Here is an 18,542-nt window from a genome sequence, read left to right as displayed (position 1 = left end):
GAGGAGGTGAGATTCTAGCTGAGACCTAAATAGAATGAGGGACAGGCTGTCTGAAGCCAGTTGCCTGCCTGTATTTTTTTTTTTTTTTTTTTTGAGACAAGAGTCTCACTCTGTCACCCAGGCTGGAGTGCAGTGGCACGATGTTGGCTCACTGCAACTTCACCCTGCCAGCAATTCTCCTGCCTCAGCCTCCCAAGTAGCTGGGATTACAGGCACACGCCACCATGCCCGGCTAATTTTTGCACTTTTTAGTAGAGACAGGTTTGCACCATACTTACCAGGCTGGTCTCGAACTCCTGACCTTGTGATCCTCCCGTCTCAGCCTCCCAAAGTGCTGGGATTACAGGAATGAGCCACCGTGCCCAGCCAAAATAGGATGCCCGAACGAGGACTTGAACCCTGGACCCTCAGATTAAAAGTCTGATGCTCTACCCACTGAGCTCTCCGGGCTCACCTGCCTGTATTAAAGTCTGGGCTGTGGTGCTAAAACACTCAGTGGGGAATAACCTTGGTAGGTTGGGACAAGGGTTGGAGCAGCTGCAAGAGGTCCACAGTGGCTTCTGCAGAGTGAATGAGGCAGAGCTTAGTAGGAAATGAGATGAAAAATGCAGCCAGGGGCCTCATCAAGTTGGGCCAGGTTGGGAAACAGTTTGAGTTTTATTCTAAAGGTAACAGAGGCCACTGGATGGGTGAGAATCAGAGGAATTTTTAAATCTGGCTTCTGCTTTTGTTTCTTGGTATTGAAGCCATTGGATTTCAGTACTGAAACTTCCCTATCCCAATCTTTAGTGAGGCTGTTAGGCACCCAGAAGGTGCCAACACTTTGCTGCTGGGCATCCAAACCCAACACTGCAACACTCATTCATTCCACTTATGTTCCCAGCACTGTCCTAGGCGTGGGTATGCAGCAGTGAACGCATCTGACATAAGCCCTGCCCTCCCAGAGTATTCTACAAGGAGGAGATGAATAAACAACGTAAATATGCACTATAGGTTATATATACAGAGCCCATACTAGACAACGGTCAAGGGTTTAGACTAGAGAAAAATGAAGTACATGCAAGGGATACCAAGTGCTGGGGGGTGCTTTGAAATTTCAAACACAGGGGTCAAGGATGTCTTCCCCATGGGGCTGACACACTGAGATAGCTCCTCTCAGCCCGGCTGGCTTCCAGGAAGGCTTCTCCCCAGCTCCAGGGAATGCGTCCATTTCCTCCCTAGCACGGACCCTGCGGCCAGGAGGGAGGGCCCTGGTTGGATCTGCCGAGGAGAGAGAGAAGAGCAGGGACCCTGGAGCGGAGGACTCGGGTGTGCTCATCAGATGGTCCAGGCACATGGCCTTGGAGGATGGTGGGGGGCTGGGGTGGGGGCAGGGGAGGAAAGGGGCTGGGGCTGGCAAGTCTCAGGGGAATATTGATGAGTTTTCTGGCAAGAAGTGACAGGGCTGGTGGGGACGGTGTAATGAAGACAGATGATCTCAGGCCAGCTCTGCTCATCTTCCTGTGGGAGGAGGAGGGGCACAACCCGGGTGGAGGGTGGGGAGTGGGCTTGCCAAGTGCCCGCTGTGCCCTCTCCTCTGGCACCTTAGCTCTCCAGCTGCCCCAGCTTCTCCCCGCTGCCCCTCCTTCCTCCACTCACCTCAGCCCACGCTCTTCTCTCCTTCCTGCCCTGCTTTCTCTGGAGAAAAGACCCTTTCCCCTTCCCCACTTTTCTCTCTTCTTTCTTTTCTTTTTCCCTGTTTCTCCCATTTGCCTGTCCCTCCACAGCTCTCTTTTCTCACTTCTTTTTCTCTCTGCCCACCTCCACCCCCAGCCTCCTGACTGTGACCTCCAGAGCAAAGCGCTGTCTTTTCTCTGGGGATTTCCTAAATTCTCTAAAACAGCGGCGACCCCCGATTCTATCAACAATTTATTCAGCGCCCCCTGCATGGTAGGCACTTGCTGTGCCAGCCTGCAGACCAGGGCTGCACAGTACCAGGGAGGAGGGAACATGGAATATTCGATTTTCCCTGACTTCCTTCCTTCCTTCTTTCCTTCCTTCCTGCCTGCCTTCCTTCCTTCTTCCTTCCTTCTTTCCTTCCTTCCTTCCTGCCTTCCTTCCTCTTTCTTGCTTTCTCCTTCCTTCCTTCCCTCCCTCCCTCTTTCCTTCCTTCCTTCCTTTCTTTCAATCGTAGTAAAATACACAGAACATAAAATTTACCACTAGTGACATTTATTTTTTATTTATTTTTTTGAGACGGAGTCTCACTCTGTCGCCCAGTCTAGAGTCCAGTGGCATGATCTCGGTTCACTGCAACCTCCACCTCCCAGGTTCAAGCAATTCTCCTGTCTCAGCTTCCCGAGTAGCTGGAATTACAGGCGTGCACCACTTCTGGCTAGTTTTTGTATTTTTAGTAGAGACTGGGTTTCACCATATCAGCCAGGCTGGTCTTGAACTCCTGATCTCGTGATCCACCCACATCAGCCTCCCAAAGTGCTGGGATTACAGGCATGAGCCACCGTGCCCGGCCACTAGTGACACTCAGTACATTGGATGTGTGTCATCACCACCATCTAGTTCCAGCACATTTCATCCCCCCAAAAGGAAACCCCATTCCCATGAGCAGTCACTCCTATTGCCCCTCCTCTCAGCCCCTGGCAACCACTCGGCTGTTTTCTTGTCAGTGGACTTGCCTATTCTAGATATTTCATATAAATAAACATGTGCTTTTTGTGTCTGACTTCTTACACTTAGCAGAATGTTTTCAAGGTTCGCCATGTTGTAGCATGTATCACTATTTCACTCCTTTTTCTGGCTGAATAATATTCTACCATGTGGTTATACCATATTTTGTTTATCCATTCACCCATCAGTTGATGGAATTTGAGTTGTTCAGGTCACTGAATTTTGAAGCAGAAGCCCTAGTGTTGAGTTCCATGCCACTCCTACCTGTGTGGCCTTGAGCAGCCATGTATGTCTTGGAGCACTGATAATTTCACCTATGAAATGGAACTGTAAAATTTTAAGTCTCTATGCTCTTTTAGAGCATAAGAAGAATGGTCTATGATCTTCTAGCTTGATAAGTTGGAAACTGCCTCTCACCTCTCTCCTTCTGTACCTCTCCCATTTGCTATTGAATTTGGGATCAATGTTGAGTAAAAAAATTCATGTGCCAGCTGGGTGTGGTGGCTCACACCTGTAATCCCAGCACTTTGGGAGGCTGAGGTGGGAGGATCACAAGGTCAGGAGATCAAGACCATCCTGGCTAACATGGTGAAGCCCCATCTCTACTAAAAATACAAAAAATTAGCCAGGCATGGTGGTGGGTGCCTGTAGTCCCAGCTACTCGGGAGGCTGAGGCAGGAGAATGGCGTGAACCCGGAAGGCGGAACTTGCAGTGAGCCGAGATCGCGCCACTGCACTCCAGCCTGGGCGACAGAGACTCCGTCTCAAAAAAAAAAAATTCATGTGCCAAAGTCAGGTGGACTAATGTTTATTGTTGTGTCCATTGTCACCTAGACCATTTTCCTGATTTATTTATTTATTTTTATTTATTTATTCTTTTTTAGATAGAGTCTTGCTCTGTCGCCCAGCCTGGAGTACAGTGGTGTGATCTTGGCTTACTGCAACCTCCACCTCCCAGGTTCAAGTGATTCTCCTGCCTCAGCCTCCCGAGTAGCTGGGATTACAGGCACTGCTACCACACCTGGCTAATTTTTGTATTTTTAGCAGAGGCGGGGATTCTCCATGTTGGCCATTCTGGTCTTGAACTCCTGACCTGAAGTGATCTGCTTGCCTCGGCCTCCCAAAGTGCTGGGATTACAGGCATGAGCCAGTGTGCCTGGCCCATTTTACAGATTTAAACATGCATTATTTTTCAAATTTTAGTATCTTTGAAATTGGCACATAGTTTACAACCAATGGTTGTATAGTAACTAATAAAACTCTTTATTTTTCTAGTGGTTTGTAAAACAATTGTGCTTATTCCAATCAACAGTTCAAGGTTAGTGTAACATGCTAGGAATAGGTCAGTGAACATCACCATGAACAATAAGAGAAATAAAAACTGACTTCCTAATGAAACATTTTTGATGTAAGTTAACTGATATCCTGGTATGTGAACTCTCAGCTAAATGAGTTGGTTGACATGGAAATATTGATTTACTTGAGCTGACATAATGTCAACATCATTTAAAACACCATGCAGACACACCTTGCTGGCACAAATGGTTCTAAAACACTTGGCCACCGTGGTAGGGCCATAGATTCCATGAGAAAATACTTGCGAATGGACTTTGTGAACTGAGATGCTAGATGGTAGTGCAAAGGTGCGGTTATTAGTCTCTCATTCTCCCAAGGCTCCGCCTCCCTGCCCTGCCCCCTCCCACCCTCTCCAACATGGGAGAAGTCGCATACAAATACTGAATATTTTTGCCTTCATTAAAACAGGCCAGATATCGTAATTACATCCCAGAGAGCAGAGGGCTCCATCTGAAGGGAGGAGAGGGAGGTGGATGAAAGTCAGTCAGACATGCAGAATTCATGAGCTTGGCTAATTGAGCACCTCCACTAAGAACAGATCTTAGCTGACTAGGGAAGAAAACCATATCCGGTTGTCCTGGCCCTGCTCAAACCTTGTCTCCTCCCGGAGCCTTGAGTTGGGCCAGCCTGCCTCTGAACTCCCATGGCAGGCCCTCGGTCAAGACCTGAGCACTAACTGCTCCTGTGGCTGTCCTCTGTCTCCAGCTAGACTGTGAATGAGTTGAGAGCAGAGGCGTTCTGTGAACTCTTTTCTGTGAGTTTTCTCATGGCTATGTGGCAGGAATGTAGTAGAAATATGGAGAGGAGTCAGGAATAAGGGCAGTGTTCCTCAAAATGTCCACCCAGACCACCTGCATGGGCTATCACCTGCTGGAGCTGGTTACAAATGAAATTCCTGGGAATCCACCCAAGAGACTGTATTTCAGTACGTAGGGCCCGGGAATCTGCATTTAAACAATCTACCGCAAATAATTCTATGCTCAGTACAGTTAGAAAACCACCAAGTCTAAGGATTAAACTAGGTGATCCTGCAGGTGCTTTCCAACCCAACAGCCTGTGATGTACTTTGCTGTCTTCTAAGCATTCAGTCCTCCTCCTCTCTGTCCTTGAAAGCCTACTGTGTGTCTCGCTTCTGCCAGTGTAGGAAACTGATGCTCAGCCAATGTTCAGGAAAAGCGTCAAAGGGGAGACTAGCATTGCTGTCCCTGCTCCCAGCAAGAGAGCAAGGAGGGTGGAGGAGGACAAGATGGGGCTGTGGGCTGGGGAAGGGGAAGGACCAGAACAGGAGGGGGCTGAATGAGCCAGCAGGAGGTGCCTTGGACCTTGGCAGTCACTGGGGGCCCTGCTGGTCCCATGGCCCCTGCACTCCCTGCCCACCCAACTAGCCTGCCCAAAAGGAGGGAACAGTGCTAGCCAGACACCTTTGTGCTTTGATCACTAAGAGAACTCACTACCACCAAGAAGAATGAGCTGCTGAGGTTTAATAGAACTTATGTCAGAGGATGAGGAACAACTTGTGGGGCCTTTGGCTTCACTAAGCTACATGCAGAGCTGTGACTCTGGACCCATGCCATGGAGATCCCTGTGCTTGATCCTCCAGCCAGGTCCCTGATGCACCCCTTGTCTGAGGTGAGCATGCTCAGGGTTTAATAACGGCTGGTGCAGCTAACGTTTATTATGTCCAGCCCCCAGCTAAGCACTTTACATGCATTACCTCATTTAATCTCTATGCCGTCCCTACTAATAAACCCCTTTTGCAGATAGGAAAACTGACGTTGTGATGTATGGTGTAACTTGCACAATGTCACCTGGTTCTTTCTTTTTCTTTTCTTTTTTTTTATGACAGAGTCTCTCCGTTGCCCACGCTGGAGTGCAGTGGCACAATCTTGGCTCACTGCAACCTCTGTCTCCTGGGTTCAAGCAATTCTCCTGCCTCAGCCTTCCAAGTAGCTGGGATTACAGGTGCCCACCACTGCACCTGACTAATTTTTGTATTTTCAGTAGAGACGGGATTTCACCATGTTAGCCAGGCTGGTCTCAAACTCCTGACCTCAGGTGATCCACCTGCCTTGGCCTCCCAGAGTGCTGGGATTACAGGCATGAGCCACCATGTCTGGCCTGGTTCTTTCAACTGGTGTTTTACCTCTTCCTCAGATGTCCATCACTATCCCTGTTGCTCTCCTCTTTATCCTCTCCGGCCTGGCTCTGTCCCTCTTATAGCAAGGGGCCTGGAACTCAACCTAGCGCGAATGGTCTAAGGGTTCTGTCCTGGTGTGGGACACTTCCCTTCTGTTGATGCAGCCCTGTGGTGGGCTTTTCTGGAAGCCTCACCACACTGGTGTTCAACCTGAGCTTACTGTCAGGTGAAGCCCCTAAATTGATGCTTTCTGATCCTAACTCTCTATTCTATTTTTATATAATGGGGATTCTGTGCCCAGGTACAGGAATTTACATTCATCCCTATTAAATATTTTCACCTACATGCTTCTTGGTTCTGTCTGTTACATCCCCTATGGACACACACACACACACACACACACACACACACACTCCTCTTTCCCAGAAGACAGATGTGTATTTTGGACAATCTACTCCATGGGGACTATCTGTTTTCCACTCTTACCCTTAAAAGTAAGGAAACACAAGTTGTGTACATGTTTCCTCCAGGGTTTTCCTGGTCACATTGCATACTCAGGCGAGAGGGCTTCATGACCAAGCGTGCAGGCTCTGGGTCAGACTGCCTGGGTTGGAATCCCAGCCTGAGCACGGAGCCTTGTGACCTTGAGATATTAATGTAGCCTCTGTACTTCAGTGTTCTCTGTAAAATAGCGATAACTATATCTATCTCACTTGTTATTCTGAGAATTAAATGTGATAGTTGGCCGGGTGCAGTGGCTCACACCTGTAATCCCAGCACTTTGGGAGGCTGAGCAGGTGAGTGGCTTAAGGCCAGGAGTTCGAGACCGGCCTGGCCAACATGGTGAAACCCCATCTCTACTAAAAATAAAAAAATAGCCAGGTGTGGTGGCATGTGCCTGTAATCCCAGCTACTCAGGAGGCTGAGGTATGAGCATCGCTTGAACCTGGGAGGCGGAGTTTGCAGTGAGCCGAGATCACACCACTTCACTCCAGTCTGGGAGACAGAGTGAGACCCTGTCTCACACACACACCAAAAAATGTGATAGTAATTGGGCAGTAAATATGTTGGCCTCCTCGTTGCCTCTTCTGGCTTCTCTGGGTCCCCCGATCTTGCTTTCCCATCCTGACACCCTCCCACATCTGTTTGACCTTAGTTACAAAGAGAAACACAGAATTTCTGTGATGAAAGGGCTTCAGAGGCAGTCCAATCCAGCCCCTTTGTTGTACAGATGAGAAAACCACAGTCCCTCCTGCCATTCCTCTGTTGCTTCATTTTGTTCCAAAGTCGTTGTATTTCCAGCACTCCAGTTACCACCTTTTCTCTCTCCAGCTCACATAGCAATCAGATCAGGCTGCTTTTCCCCAGTGCAATCAGTGAGCTCCCAGCCTCCAGCTTGCTGGATTTATGGCTCTCTGCTGGCTCACGGGGTCCTTAGGGGTCTGTGTAGCTCAGGAGTTATGGGCCAGCCGAGACAGGGCTTTCAGTGCACTTGGCCCAACTTGTCAGTCACCTCCTGGGGCCGGTTGCATGGAAAAAAGAAAATCAAATACCAAGGCCAATATGCTGACCACATTTTTATGCTCTTCATTCAAATCCAAAATGTTCCCTATGGGGCATGCTGGAAGCTGTTCAGAACTGAAAGGCAGAGATCGTTCTCCAACTGGCCAGGAAAGGAGGACTACAGGGAGGATGCCGCATGTCTGAGCAGTTTGTGTCCCTTCTCAGAAGACGTTGTGCCCATGTGCCAGGGCAGTGCAATGACAGAGGGTGGTGGGGTAGAAGCTCTGATTTCTCTGAATTCTCCATTAATTCCTTCAAAAAAAGGTTAATAGTTATGTAACTAGCTTTTAGACAATTCCTCGACTTCCTCTTCCCAACCAAAGCACCAACTTTAGCCCCTCTAATACACACATTCTGGGGCCAGCCCTTTGCCAGAAATAAGGAGGGGCAGCCTACCTAGGCTGTTTAAGGCAGTTTTGTAATGCAGGGGGTGGATGTTGTATAGCTAGCTTTCTTTCCAAGTAAGGAAAAAATACAATAATCATTTCTTAAGATAAAGGACATTCTAGGCTGGGTACAGTGGCTCACACATGTAATCCCAGCACTTTGGGAGGCCAAGGCAGGCAGATCACTTGAGGCCAGGGGTTCAAGACCAGCCTGGGCAACATGGCAAAACCCCATCTCTACTAAAAATGCAAATAATTAGCTGGGCACGGTGGCACATGCCTGTAGACCCAGCTATTCAGGAGGCTGAGGTGGGTGAATCACCTGAGCCCAAGGCTGCAGTGAGCCAAGATCGTGCCACTGCACTCCAGCCTGAGTGACAGAGTGAGACCCTATCTCAAAAAAAAAAAAAAAAAAAAGAGAAAGAGAGATAAAGGACATTCTAACAACACTAAGGGTGGTGGGGAGAGAGAGAGAGAGAGAATGGACAAAATGTCAGACTAAGGAACAATCTTTAAATTGAATTAATTCGGCATTATTAAAATGCCAACTGATTGTCTTCGCATTTGCTTTTTGCAGTAGCAGCGCGATCCCCTGGGGCTGGAGTCTGAGATATGGAATTAACTCAGGGCCTGCCACTTAGCAACATGTGACTTTGGGTAAGTTAACTGACAGACTTGAACATCAGTAGACTTGCCTTCAGTTTCCTCATCTGTAAAACAGGAAGGATAGCACTTATCTCATCAGGTGGCTGGGGAGAGAGGGTCAGAGAAAGGAATGGACCATTTACTGAGCAACTATGAAAAGACAGGCATGTTGATATAGGATGTTTCATTTAATCTTCAGGACAACCTAATGAGGTAGGTGTTATCACGACCATTTTACAGATGAGGAAACTGAGACTCAGAGGTTAAGTAATTTGCCCAAGGTAACTCACAAACCCACAGTTAGCACCTGTGTTTGCTTGAATGCAAAGCCTACACTCTTTCCAGAAGGGCAGGCAGAAAGGAGGAAAGGGAAGGAAATAGGTTGGGGCAACAGTTCCTGGTCCAGACCTCAGTTTTCTCTGCGAAGTAGAAAGCAAGATCATCTACTGAGATGCGGAGGCAGGGAAGGGTCAGGAGTGGTGTAGGTTTGGAGAAACTTCTGTGGCCCCAAGACAGAGAACTTACCCATCCTCAGAGATAATGTTGCTAACAAGTTGTTCAGCACCTGGTTTTCTCTGGGACATGCTCCCCAGGGGAAGGGTCACTGTCTTGTTCATAAAGAAGAAACATATTTTACCGCCTGCCACAGTGGCTCATGCCTGTAATCCCAGCACTTTGGGAGGCCAAGGTGGGCGCATCACATGGTCAGGAGTTCGAGACCAGCCTGGCCAACATGGTGAAACCCCGTCTCTACTAAAACTACAAAAATTAGCCAGGCATGGGGCGGGTGCCTGTATTCCCAGCTACTCAAGAGGCTGAGGCAGCAGAATTGCTTGAACCCGGGAGGTGGAGGTTGCAGTGAGCAGAGATTGCACCACTGCACTCCAGCCTGGATGATAGAGCAAGACTCAGTCTCAAAAAAACAAAAACAAAAACAAACAAACAAACAAAAACATATTTTACCATTTGCTTATTGCAAAAGCAATACCTAGTACAGTGCCTGGCATGTAGTAGTAAATTTATGTTATTTAATAAATAATATGGAGTCCCAGGCCAGGCGCGGTGGCTCTTGCCTATAATCCCAGCACTTTGGGAGGCTGAGGCAGGCAGATCACGAGGTCAAGAGATTGAGACCATCCTGGCCAACATGGCGAAACCCTGTCTCTACTGAAAATACAAAAATTAGCTGGGCGTGGTGGCGCATGCCTGTAGTCCCAGCTACTCGGGAGGCTGAAGCAGGAGAATCACTTGAACCCAGGAGGTGGAGGTTGCAGTGAGCCGAGATTGCACCACTGCACCCCAGCCTGGTAACAGAGTGAGACTCCATCTCAAAATAATAATAATAAAAAAAAATAATATGGAGGCCCTACTATGTACTGAATCTGCTGTAGGTATTGGGGCCCCTTACATTCTAATAGGAGAGTTGGATAGTAACACAGAAGCCAATAAATAAAACATTCTCAGTTAGAAATAAAACTATGAATAAAGTAAGATAGAGTAAGGGGATAGAGAGTGCCTATTGCAATAGGGAGCTTCTCTCAGGAGGTAACATTTGAGATACACCTGGAATGATGAGACAAAGTTATTCATGCCAAGATGATGGAAGGGTGTTCCAGGCAGAAGAAACAACAAGTGTGAGGCCCTCAGCGAGAACAATCTTGGAATGTTCAGGGAAGCCAGAAGGAAGGCTTGTGCAGCTGGAGAGGAGGTGAGTGTTGGGGAGAGTTGTAGTAAACGAGAGAAGGGTCAGACCGTGTAAAACCTCATAAGCCAAGTTAAGAAGCTTGGATTTTATTCTAATTCCAGTAAGAAGTCTTTGGAAGGTTTTAAGCAGTGGGAGGGATGTGATCTGATTTGTGCTTTAAAACACTCACTCTGGCTTTTAGATGGAAAGTAGACTGTAGTGGGAAGAATGAGTGGAAGCAGGAGGCCAGGGAGGAAGCTGGCGCAGTCAGCCAGGAGAGGGGCAAGAACACTAGACTCAAGGGGCAGCCAGGGAGACAGACAGAAGTGGTTGGATTTGAGCAATGGGTCTGGCTGATAGATTAGCTGTGGGAGGGCGAGAAAAAGAGAGGAATCAAGGATGTTCTCTACGTTTTCGGACAGCGCTGATGGTCCTATTACTGAAGGAGGAGCGATTGGGAGCAAAGGGTATGGAAATCAAGAATTCCATCATGGACATGTTAAATTCAAAGTTCCTGGTAGACATCTGTTATGGGTTGACTTGTGTCTCCCCCAAAAAAGTCCTAATTCCCAATACCTGTCAATGTGATCTTATTTGGAAATAGGGTCTTTGCACATGTAATAAGATAAGGTCATGAGGGTGGCTCTAATCCAATATAACTATCATCTTTATAAAAAGAGATCGGCCCGGCACGGTGGCTCATGCCTGTAATCCCAGCACTTTGGGAGGCCGAGGGGGGCAGATCACCTGAGGTCAGGAGTTTGAGACCAGCCTGGCCAACATGGAGAAACCCCGTCTCTACTAAAAATACCAAAAAATTAGCTGGGGGTAGTGGTGGGTACCTGTAATCTCAGCTACTCAGGGGGCTGAGACAGGAGAATCACTTGAACCCAGGAGGCAGAGGTTGCAGTGAGCTGAGATGGAGCCATTGCACTCCAGCCTGGGCAACAAGAGCGAAACTCTGTCTAAAAAAAATAAGAGAGAGAGAGAGATCAATTGGTCGGGCACAGTGGCTCATGCCTGTAATCCCAGCTACTTGGGAGGCTGAGGCAGGAGAATTGCTTAAACCTGGGAGGCAGAGGTTGCAGTGAGCCGAGATTGCGCCATTGCATTCCAGCCTGAGTAACAAGAGTGAAACTTTGTCTCAAAAAAAAAAGAAAAAAAAAAGAGAGAGATCAAGTTCAGCAAAAACACACAGAGAAGAACAGCATATGAAGACATAGACACAGAGAGAAGATGGTCTCACAGTGATGAAGACGGCAGAGACTGGAGTGATGCTGCTACAAGCCTAGGAACGCCTGGGGCTAGAAAAGGCAAGGAAGGATCCTCCCCTAGAGGGGTCAGCCTGGCCCTGCCAACACCTTCATTTTGAACTTCTAGCCTCCAGAACTGTAAGACAACAGATTTCTGCCATTTTAAGCCACATAATTTGCAGTACTTTGTTAAAGCAGCTCTAGGAAGCTAATACAACAGCTGAGTGAAGAGGTCAAATGAGCATTTGGATATGCAAGCCTGCAGCTTAGGAGAGAGCTTGGTTTCTAAAGCCAAAGGAATAAAATTGCCTAGAGAGTGGGTTTGCGAGAATTGAGAGGAGAAAAGAGCCCAGGGAGAGACAGAGGAATGGCCAGTGAGGCAGGGGTACCAGGAAGTGTCTCAAGGGAAGAGCTGGAAGGAGGAGAGAGCAGTCAATTATGTCATACACTTATGATGATGGGTGAAATTGAACTGGCTTCAGCCTTTGGATTTTGCAAGATGGAGACTGTCGATGATTTTGACAAGAGAAGTGTTAGCAGGGTGGTGAAGACAGAAGTCAAACTGGAGTGAGCTGAGGAGTGAATAAAGGTAAGAAAGTGTAGAGTAATTACAGAGAACTATCTTGAGTTTTGCTGTAAAATGATAAAGAAAAGGGCTATTACCTAGAAAAAGGTGTGGGAGCCAGGAAAGGTTTTTTTATTTTATTTTATTTTTTATGAGATGGAGTCTCACTCTGTCGCCCAGGCTGGAGTGCAGTGGCACGATCTCGGCTCACTGCAACCTCCGCCTCCTGGGTCCAAGCGATTCTCCTGCCTCAGCCTCCTAAGTAGCTGGGATTACTTACAGGTGCGCACCAACACGCCCAGCTAATTTTTTTGTATTTTTAGTAGAGATGGGGTTTCACCATGTTGGCCAGGCTGGTCTCCAACTCCTGACCTCATGATCTGTCCACCTCGGCCTCCCAAAGTGCTCAGATTACGGGCTTAAGCCACAGCACCTGGCTGTTTTTTTTTTAAGGTAGGCAACATTAAGGCATGTTTTTCTGTATGTGGGGATGATCTAGGGTTGAAGGAGAAACTGATGATTCAGGAAAGACAGGGTATAATTTCAAGGAGCAAAGACACAGAAGTGAGGGTGGATGGGATCCAGTGCAAAAATGCAGGAGTTGGCCCTAAGTAGGAGTGGAGACTTTTCATCTATTACAGCTGCAGGGAAGGCAGAGAATATGAGTAGAGATTGTGTAGATGGGTTGGTGGATTGTGATGGGACCATGAAGTAATTCTCACCTGTTTGCATCCATTTGTATTTATTATATCAGTGAAGTATGGGTTGAGGGATGGTATTGCCATGCCTGATACTGTCATCCAGGAAAGTGGACGGTCAGTTAAAGCTACACACAGTCCAGACTCTTAGGTGGCAATGAGGACTCTCCTGAAGAAAAGGATGACTGAAATGAATCCTTGTATCCATGAAGTGTCCGGTGTTGTGCTAGGCACATGACATATTCATTGATGAAAACTGTGGCTTTCTATCTGGATCACAGAGCTGATGCTCTGGTGACTGTAACAGGAATAGGCTCTAGCCCACTGTGCTACACACAACAGACTCAGGATGCTGTGAGTGACGGCAATTTCTAAGTACTTCTGATTGCTTAGCAAGGAAAGCATCTGCATTTTGTCCTTTCTGATGAAAGTTATCTCTGTTTTCAAGACTGACCAGGGACTGGGCTACAGTGTGTTTCGTGTTAATTAGGAGAAGGGGGACAGGAGGCAAAGGTAGGGGTCAGTAAGGTGACCTGTCCAAATTGGAGCTGCAGGATATCCCTGCCCCAGACTAAAACACTGCACCCTCTGCCTCAGAAGGGAAACAGAGAGCCTCCCTCCTCTGGAAGCTCAGAGCAGAAAAAGGCACAGCCACATTTTTTCTTTAGATGAAAATATGGCCACCCAGTCCTGGGCCTTTGCCTTCCCTTCCTTTTCCTTCTTAGTTGCTTCTTCTCCAGAATAAATTATTTCTATTTCTATTTCTTTTTTTTTTTTTTTTTTTTTTTTGAGACGGAGTCTCGCTTGGTCGCCCAGGCTGGAGTGCAGTGGTGCAATCTTGGTTCACTGCAACCTCCGTCTCCCGGGTTCAAGTGATTGCCCTGCCTCAGCCTCCCAAGTAGCTGGAATTACAGGTGCACACCACCACACCCGGCTAAGTTTTGTATTTTTAGTAGAACTGGGGTTTCACCAGGCTACTCTTGAACTCCTGACCTCAGGTGATCTGCCCGCCTCAGCCTCCCAAAGTGCTGGGATTACAGCTGTGAGCCACCACGCCCAGCTATTTTTATTTCTTTTAACTCCTTTTATTTTGAGTAGAGACGGGGTTTTGCCATATTGACCAGGCTGGTCTTGAACTCCTGACCTCAAGTCATCTGCCCATCTTGGCCTCCCAAAGTGCTGGGATTACAGGCATGAGCCACCGCGCCCGTCCAACTCCTATTTTTCTAGCCTTTTTGATTCCACCTGCCCTCCTCCATTTCACTGAAGCTGGGGCCTATCTTTGCCTTTTCCTCCCCAGGATCTCCCACAGAATGCTTCCTTCCTGTCCCAACCCTTCCGCCAATACCACTAGATGTGAAAGTCCAAAGGGTTTTTTTTAAGACACCTCTAAAGTTCCCACTGATGTTATGCCCCAGTGTCTGAGGTGACCCGACCTGGTCTCTGTGTGGCTGAGAGACTGTCTCTTTGTGCTGGCTGATGAATGGCTGCCCTGCACTGTCCCAGGACCTCAATCCCTGGAGGGTAACAGGAGAAAGCCCACTCCCCTCCTTAGGCTCTGCACCTGCTGCTCTCAGCTTTCTTTGGGGCTACAGGGTGGTTGGGCAGGGAGCTAGCTCACTAAGCCAGAAAAGAGCAGCACCAGGTCAGCAGATCAGGAGTCTCTCTCTGTCTTATCCTCTCTGGACAGAATGGGGCCGCTGAGGGGCTGCCCAGACCCACAGCCTTTCCTCCCCATGACTCCTGCTTTGTCCCCACACATCTCCTATTACCTGCAGGGATTTGGATCTCTCAATAGAAAGTGAGCCTGCTGGGATGCTATTTACCTCTGTGAACGAGGGTTTGAACTGTAGAATTTCTGGGCTGGAAAACATCTCACCTGGTTAGCCATCTTCACCCCTGCCTGAAGACACGGCACTGTGCAAACCTTCAGGCCAACATCACTTTCTGAAGGAGACTCTGTGATTTTCCTCGATAATACATCTCAGTGCTTCAAACCACAAAACTCCATTCAGTTCAACAAAAGTGCACAGAGTGCCTATTTTAGTATTGTTTTTATGTTGTTTTACATATTATTAAAGTATTTCACTATTTATTTTGGACAGGTAATACATGCACATGGTACAACATCACAACTGCTAGAGGGGGAACAATGAAAGCAGGTGCCCCATCCACTCAGGTCCCCTTCCAGAAGTACCTATCATTAGCAATGTCTTGTGTATTTTTCCATAGACATTCGACACATATACAATTTCATTTAATCTTCACGACAGCCTTCTCAGATGGATATCTTAAATCCCATTTGGCAGATGAGGGAACCATGGCTCAGAGCGTGTTGGTAACAGTGGCAATTCCCATCGAAGTGCATGTTAAGTCCAAAGCCCAAACAGTTTCTGCTATAACATGTTCCCAGATCTACCATTTAATCATTTCCTTCCCTTCTACCACAGCCTCTCACATCAGCAGGTTTGGCTCCAGAGCCTGGGTGTGCAGGGCCCTGTCCTAGGTGCTGAAGGCTCTGGTAGAGGCAGGGGATTACTTAGCCTCTACCATCTTGGGCTCGTGGATAAGCTGGGAGGCTAGCAAATACCTGAAGTATAATAGAGAAAAGGCAGGGAGCCAAACAATTCTTCTGGCCAATGAATTTGTACATGGTACTAAGCAAGCCACTGCCTCTTTCTGACTCTGTTTCCCTATCTGTCCGGTGGAGATAAACTTAACTCTCAGGGCTCTTGTGAGAATCTAGGGATAGTAAATGTATAGGAAAGCATACAATCCCAGATCATGGAAAGGAGTCTAGCCAGTGCTATTGATAGCTCCCCCCAGGTGAAGGCCAGTGGTCACTAAATGAGGAGGTAAACAGAGTGGTGCAGGCCACTGGGGAGTGACAGATTGAAACAGGGATGTCATCATCTATGTTCTTTATTTTGGGGATGTCTTCAGCAGGGACAAAGTTGGGCCAATTGCAACCATCAGACACTAGAAGTTAAAGGGGGCTACAGTGTGGGGTTGGGCTCAGAAAGAGCAACACACAGGTAAGCCTCTTTCAAAACATTAGTCTTTGGAACCTGGAGAAATCTGCCTGGATTACACCTGCAAATACTACTCTGGGCAGCTCTCTAGCTTCTGCAGGTCCTTCCTAGGCCCACCTCGCTCTGTTGTGTGCTCCCTCTCTGCAAGCTGGACGATTCACTGCTTTCTCATGAGCCAGTTACTAGCAGCTCAAGGGCCTCTCTACAGGTTTCTTCTGACCAGAACTCTTCCCTTGCCCCTCACCATCCCATCTTCACCCAGCTATCTTTCATCCTTTAGATCTCATTCCTCAGAGAAGCCTTTCTGGGCTCCCCAGTGAAGAGTAAGAGTCCCCATTATTCACACTCCCCAGATGTCTCCTGATTAGCTCATATGGCACTAGTCAGTGTTCATCTTGTCCAGCAGACTGTGCACTCCAGAGGACTGGGCACCACACGCACTGGTTCACCTGTGTATATCCCCAATGCCTAGCACAGAGCCTGGCATGGAAGACATGCTACATTATTATTGAATGAATGGCTGAAGTTACTCAATCCTGCCTTTTGGGTTCAAACTTTGCCTGTACCTTGGTTTAGCACCTCTCACACTGGGATAACACCTCTGACTCCAGTATTTGTTGCTTTTTAAAAACATGATTGTCTCATCTGGATCTTCTTCTTTTGCATTCCTGGCACCCAGCCCGTGTCATGGCACGGGTGGTGGGGGGCGGTGGGGGGAGGATCCTGCATATTTCTTGCTAAATGAATGAATTCTTGGCAGGAAGCTGCTTTGAACCAGAGGGCATTTCCTTCCAGGCAGTTAATGAGCTGTCTGCCAAGGTGGGCCAAAGGAAAGAAATTAGTAACAATATTGGACTGCAGTTGAGGGGGCTGGAGAGAGGAGAAAAGCAAAGATCCTTAGTGCCATCTCTTCTTTGTCATTGTGTGTGGGGCAGGACATGGGCCGTGGTCACTGAAGGGATCCTCTCGAGGGCTCTAAAAGCCCTCTCTGACTGAAGCGGGTTGGGCTCAGGTGACCAACCCCTGCTGCCCCCCCCCCCCCACTTCCGCCTCCTTGGGAAGGGGGCGTGGCGGGAGAGGAGGAAAGATACTGGGATCTTCGGCCTCTAGGCCTTTTCCCCTAGTATCTTCGTCCCCAAGACCCAAGCCAGAATTGGGAGGGGAGGGGGCTGAGGCCAAGCCGGGTGGCGGGGGAGGGGAGGGGCGGGGCGGCGCGGCCAGCCGGCTGGTGTCCCCTGATGTCTGGAGCCGAGGCCCCGGGCTCTCGGCCTCCACGAAGCGAGGCGAGCCGGAGCTGTGCGGTGAATGCAAAGAGCCGGGAGAGCTCCCAGCCCGGCGCCGCCGACGGCGTCCTCAGCCACAGCCCAATGAGAAGAGAGCAGATAATTTATTCTCTAATCCCGGTTCGGGTACCCGGCGCTGGCGAGTGGCGGGGGTAGGAGGGGTGGGTCTCCTCTTCCTCCGTCCCCTCCCCCGCCCCTGCGGGCTCCCGGCCGCACACACACACATTTCCTGACAATTAGCGAACACACCTTGGCCGCGCGGCCTCCGGCGGCGGCGCCGCAGCTTTTGTCTCCCGCCCGCCGGGCTGCGAGGTGCGGGCGCTTAGGCGCGAAGTTGCAGCTCCGACGCGCTGCTCCGGAATGCCGGCTGACCGCGGCCGTCGGGGGGCGCGGAGGGCGGGGTGGGCCGGGCACGCCGGCCCCGGGGCTGGGGGGCTGCAAAAGAGAGAAGAGAGACAAAAGTAAGGCAGCGCTGGCCCCTCTTCCTTTGTTATAACCCTGAGTGTGTGCGGGCGTGAGCGCGCGCGGGAGTGTCTGTGTGCGCGAGGGTGTGCATATGTGTGTGTGCATGTGCGTGCATGTGTGTGCGCGCGTGTGTGCAAATGCCTGCATATGTGTGCGGGTCGGGACTGGCCGGGGGCGGCAGGACCCGAAGGCGCTAGGCGGATTCACCGGATTGGGAGTTGAATCGCGTCCCGGTCTTTCTAGCTGTGCCCGGAAATCGGGCGTGCGGGCAGGTAGCCGTCCCGCTCTCGCCAGTTCCTCCGAGTACTGAGCTCGGAGTTTGTTCACAGGCTGAGCCCGTGCTGGGGGTGTCGCAGCTTGGGCCCGGCCTGCAGGGGTGGGGGAGGAAGAAGCTCCGGCTGAGGGTCTGCCCCGACCGCAGAGGGCGCACGAGGGGGTCTCCCGGCACCGGCGCGGCGCCCACGCCACTACAGGGGCCCCCTGAAACCCGGGTAGAAGCTTGTGATAGGCGTTGCGACCCCGGGAAGGCGCGAGGCTGTGGAGGTGGCTCGTGGGGCCATGGAGGGAGTGGGGGGCGGCGAGACGGAGTCCGTCTAAATGCCAGTTCCCAGAAGTTCAGCGTATCGATTATTTCCTACCTTAATGCATATTTATGCCGCGCCGAAATAGGCTTCATAATTAACTCCCGGAGTCATCCGCAGAGGTTAAAGGGACCCCGAAGATTTGTGCATTGATTGGGTACCTCGGCGGGGTGTGTGTGCGCGCGCGTGTGTGCGTGCGCCCCGTGCTAACCCATTGAAGAATAATTATT

The 18,542-nt window shown here is 49.4% G+C and overlaps 1 long non-coding RNA gene and 1 other non-coding gene across 2 annotated transcripts; both read right to left on the bottom strand.

Moving 5' to 3' along the window:
- Nucleotides 1-377: 377 nt before the first annotated feature.
- Nucleotides 378-450, bottom strand: TRK-TTT8-1 (tRNA-Lys (TTT) 8-1). Its single transcript has one exon. It is a non-coding gene; the product is annotated as a tRNA-Lys (tRNA).
- A 5,118-nt stretch (nt 451-5,568) lies between these two features.
- Nucleotides 5,569-18,535, bottom strand: LEMD1-DT (LEMD1 divergent transcript). Its single transcript, NR_148934.1, has 3 exons — nt 18,370-18,535; nt 17,516-17,701; nt 5,569-7,972 (listed from the first exon to the last, which is right to left on the bottom strand). It is a non-coding gene; the product is annotated as an LEMD1 divergent transcript (long non-coding RNA).
- Nucleotides 18,536-18,542: the final 7 nt, after the last annotated feature.

The sequence above is a fragment of the Homo sapiens genome, chromosome 1 (genome assembly GCF_000001405.40).
Source record: "Homo sapiens chromosome 1, GRCh38.p14 Primary Assembly".
In the NCBI taxonomy this organism is placed as follows: Eukaryota; Metazoa; Chordata; class Mammalia; order Primates; family Hominidae; genus Homo; species Homo sapiens.
The sequence above is the reverse complement of the archived record's forward strand: the minus strand, read 5'-3'. Positions and strand labels throughout refer to the sequence as shown.